The sequence below is a fragment of the Homo sapiens genome, chromosome 11, assembly GCF_000001405.40.
Source record: "Homo sapiens chromosome 11, GRCh38.p14 Primary Assembly".
NCBI classification, from domain to species: Eukaryota; Metazoa; Chordata; class Mammalia; order Primates; family Hominidae; genus Homo; species Homo sapiens.
The window spans coordinates 98,734,247-98,737,088 of NC_000011.10; the positions used below are offsets into that span (position 1 = coordinate 98,734,247).

The 2,842-nt window shown below is 37.2% G+C and overlaps 1 annotated feature.

Annotated features, from left to right (window-relative positions):
- Window positions 260-460: a silencer, noted in NCBI's record as "peak1433 fragment used in MPRA reporter construct". NCBI's record gives its function as "represses an SCP1 promoter by STARR-seq MPRAs in K562 erythroleukemia cells {active_cell/tissue: K562}" and the evidence as "EXISTENCE:reporter gene assay evidence [ECO:0000049][PMID:32103011]".

Consider the following 2,842-nt stretch of genomic DNA (forward strand, 5'->3'; position numbering starts at 1 on the left):
TTTAGACTTGGTTTCCTTTGGTTTTTGTAAACATGTTTATAATAGCTGTTTTGTAGTCTTTTTTTCTGAGAAGTTCAACATCTGGCCCCCCAGGATGTTTGTTCTGGCTAAATTTTTTAGTATGTGACTTACTTTTTGGTTTCTTTGCAGGTTTTGTGATTTTTTATTAAAATGTGGCACTTTAATTGATATATTGTAACAATGCTGATATTAGGGATCCCCACCCTCCCACTGCCTGGCCAGAGATTGTTGTTTCTTGATACTATTGCTTTTTGTTAATTTTGCAACTTTGCTGGACAAATTTTGTAGGTTATACATTCCTTACAGTGTGAGGCCACTACATTGTCTACTAGCCTTTTGATTTTGTTTTGTTTCGTTTTGTTTTCAACTTCTTATTCTTTAAGCCTGACTTCCTCTGCATAAAGATCAGTATAATTTAGTGATCCTCTAGTGGCAGGTTAGATGATTTTCTTAGATCCCTCAACTGTGTAACTTGCACCCCTTACTTGGGGTATATGTGTGAAAAGGCATACCTTCAAGCTTCAGGTAAGCTATGATACAGTTTTAGCTTTCATTTCCTGCTTGCACAAGGCCTCTGTGTCAGTCAGAAGTGAGTGACTGATGACTTCACCATTTATGTCTTGGGCATGAAACTAGCCTTGAGCATGTACAGGCTTTTCTATCCCCAAGACTGTCAAAACTTTTCAAAGCTGCCTATGATTGCCTAGTTTACCAGGATGTCATTTTAAACTTTTGCCAGACTCTTCTTTGTCCCAAATTAAATTACAGCCTAAAGCAGCTGTGATATTGTCAACATATTACAATAGTTTATGGTAGTACCCTGAAGGTAGGTTTTTTGTTTGTTCATTTGTTGCTTATTGTTTTATGTTTGCCTGAACTGAGCGCTGAGTCAAAATAAATAACCACAAAATCTTGCATGTAGAAATTTTCCTGAGACCTGAAAATCTGGACTAAATATTGACTATTTCTGGCCATGGAGCTTTTAACAGAGCTCCGCAATAGGTTATTCTTCTCTGTTAGGTACGAGGCTGTCACTCGTTCATAGCTAGCTACCACACCACTGGCCTGGGCAAACATCATACACTCTGCTTTCTTATTGAGGTTCCATAGTTTCTCTTGGTAGAAGATTTTCAACTCTTTCTGTGGCATTAATTAATAGAGTCCTGAAGGAGTTTATTTTAATTGTTTTGCCAGTATTTTGTTGTTTTTGCATGAGAGAGTGAGTTCACTGAGATCTTTAACGTTTCTGAAGTTAATTTCATGTTTTTACATTGTGTTGTTATATATCAAGTTATTCCCTGCAGGCAGAACATACTTAGATCTCTCTTTCTCAATGTGAACTGACAATCTCAACCTTTTAATCAGGGTGTTTAGACCATTTGTACGTAATAAGAACACTGATGTGATTAGGATTAATTCTAGCTGCTTGCTATTTGTATTTCATTGATCTCATCTTTATTTCTTTTGTCAGACATTAGCATTAATGCATATTTTCTATAAGTCCAATTTTTAAAAATCTATTGGCTTGATATCTATATTGCATTATTATATAATTGTGACTGTAATAACATTCATTGTCACAATGTCAGGCTGGTCTCGAACTTCCGACCTCAGGTGATCCGCCCACCTCAGCCTCCCAAAGTACTGGGATTACAGGCCTGAGCCACTGCGCCTGGCCAGTTGTATTATAACATGTGGAAATACCGTAATAGAAATACATAAGAGAAGCTGTCATCAGAGGGTTTCTTAAATTGTACTACACAAAGATTTTTTTTTTTCATCAGAATCATCAGTGACTTTTTAAAGAATTGCAGGTCATGATCTCTACCAAGCCAGTAAAACAACCTCTCAAAGTAAGGAATTGGCATGTTTAGTAAAAACCACTGAACTATAAAAGAGAATAAAACAAGTATTATTTCTTGGAAATTGGGAAGTTGGAAAATGATGAGAATAAAGAGAAAATAATAAAAAAGAAGAGTTTACCTGGGCGATAAGCTAGAGTGGGTGGGTGCATTACTGGAAGGAAGAGATCTTTAATTGTAAAGCAGACTGTTATTAAAGTGCAAGGAAATCTTTGAAATCCCCGTTAAATCCGCGTGGCCGATGTTGGTAGCTCATTTTACAAATGAGAAAACTCAGAAACAAGTTTTTCTAAATTACTGTAGTAAGCTTACATGGCCACTTATAGGTGACCTAGAACTAAAACCACTTCTCACAAATCAACGAATGCTACGGTCTCTCCAACATTTTTATTGCTTGGTAGCATTTGAATAGCAGTGCCATTGTCAAAAACACATTCATTTCCCTAAAAGGTTGACATAAAATGGAATGTAATGATTCTTAAGGTACTGCGACTTCTGGCAGGTATCAAGGAGCTCCGCATTACTTGACACATATTTTACATCCTCAGTCCGACCTGATGTAAAATGGAAAGACACTAATGTAAGAGTTATTTTACACTGAAACAATTTTGGAAAACGTCTTTCTTGGTTCTACGTGCTTCTGTAAGCCTGAGATGCATGATAAAGTTGTGCTACTATCAAATGCACAAATAGTTTAAGGAGGAGGCCTTCTAGTAAAAAAAAAAAGAAAAAAAAAAAGATGGCATCTTGGCATTTCCTCAGATTTCTCCTCTCAAATGTATTATTTCCTAGTTTCTTTTTATGGTGCATCTGCCAAGGTGTTTTCATTAGGGTTCCTGCTTCTGACAAGCCTAAGGACGGCTGGGAGCCTGCTGGCTTCGGGTTGATGTGGAGACAGTTTCACAGCGTGTCATCGCTAGACCTCGGTGCTGGAAATCTCAGCATTTCATGATCCCTCC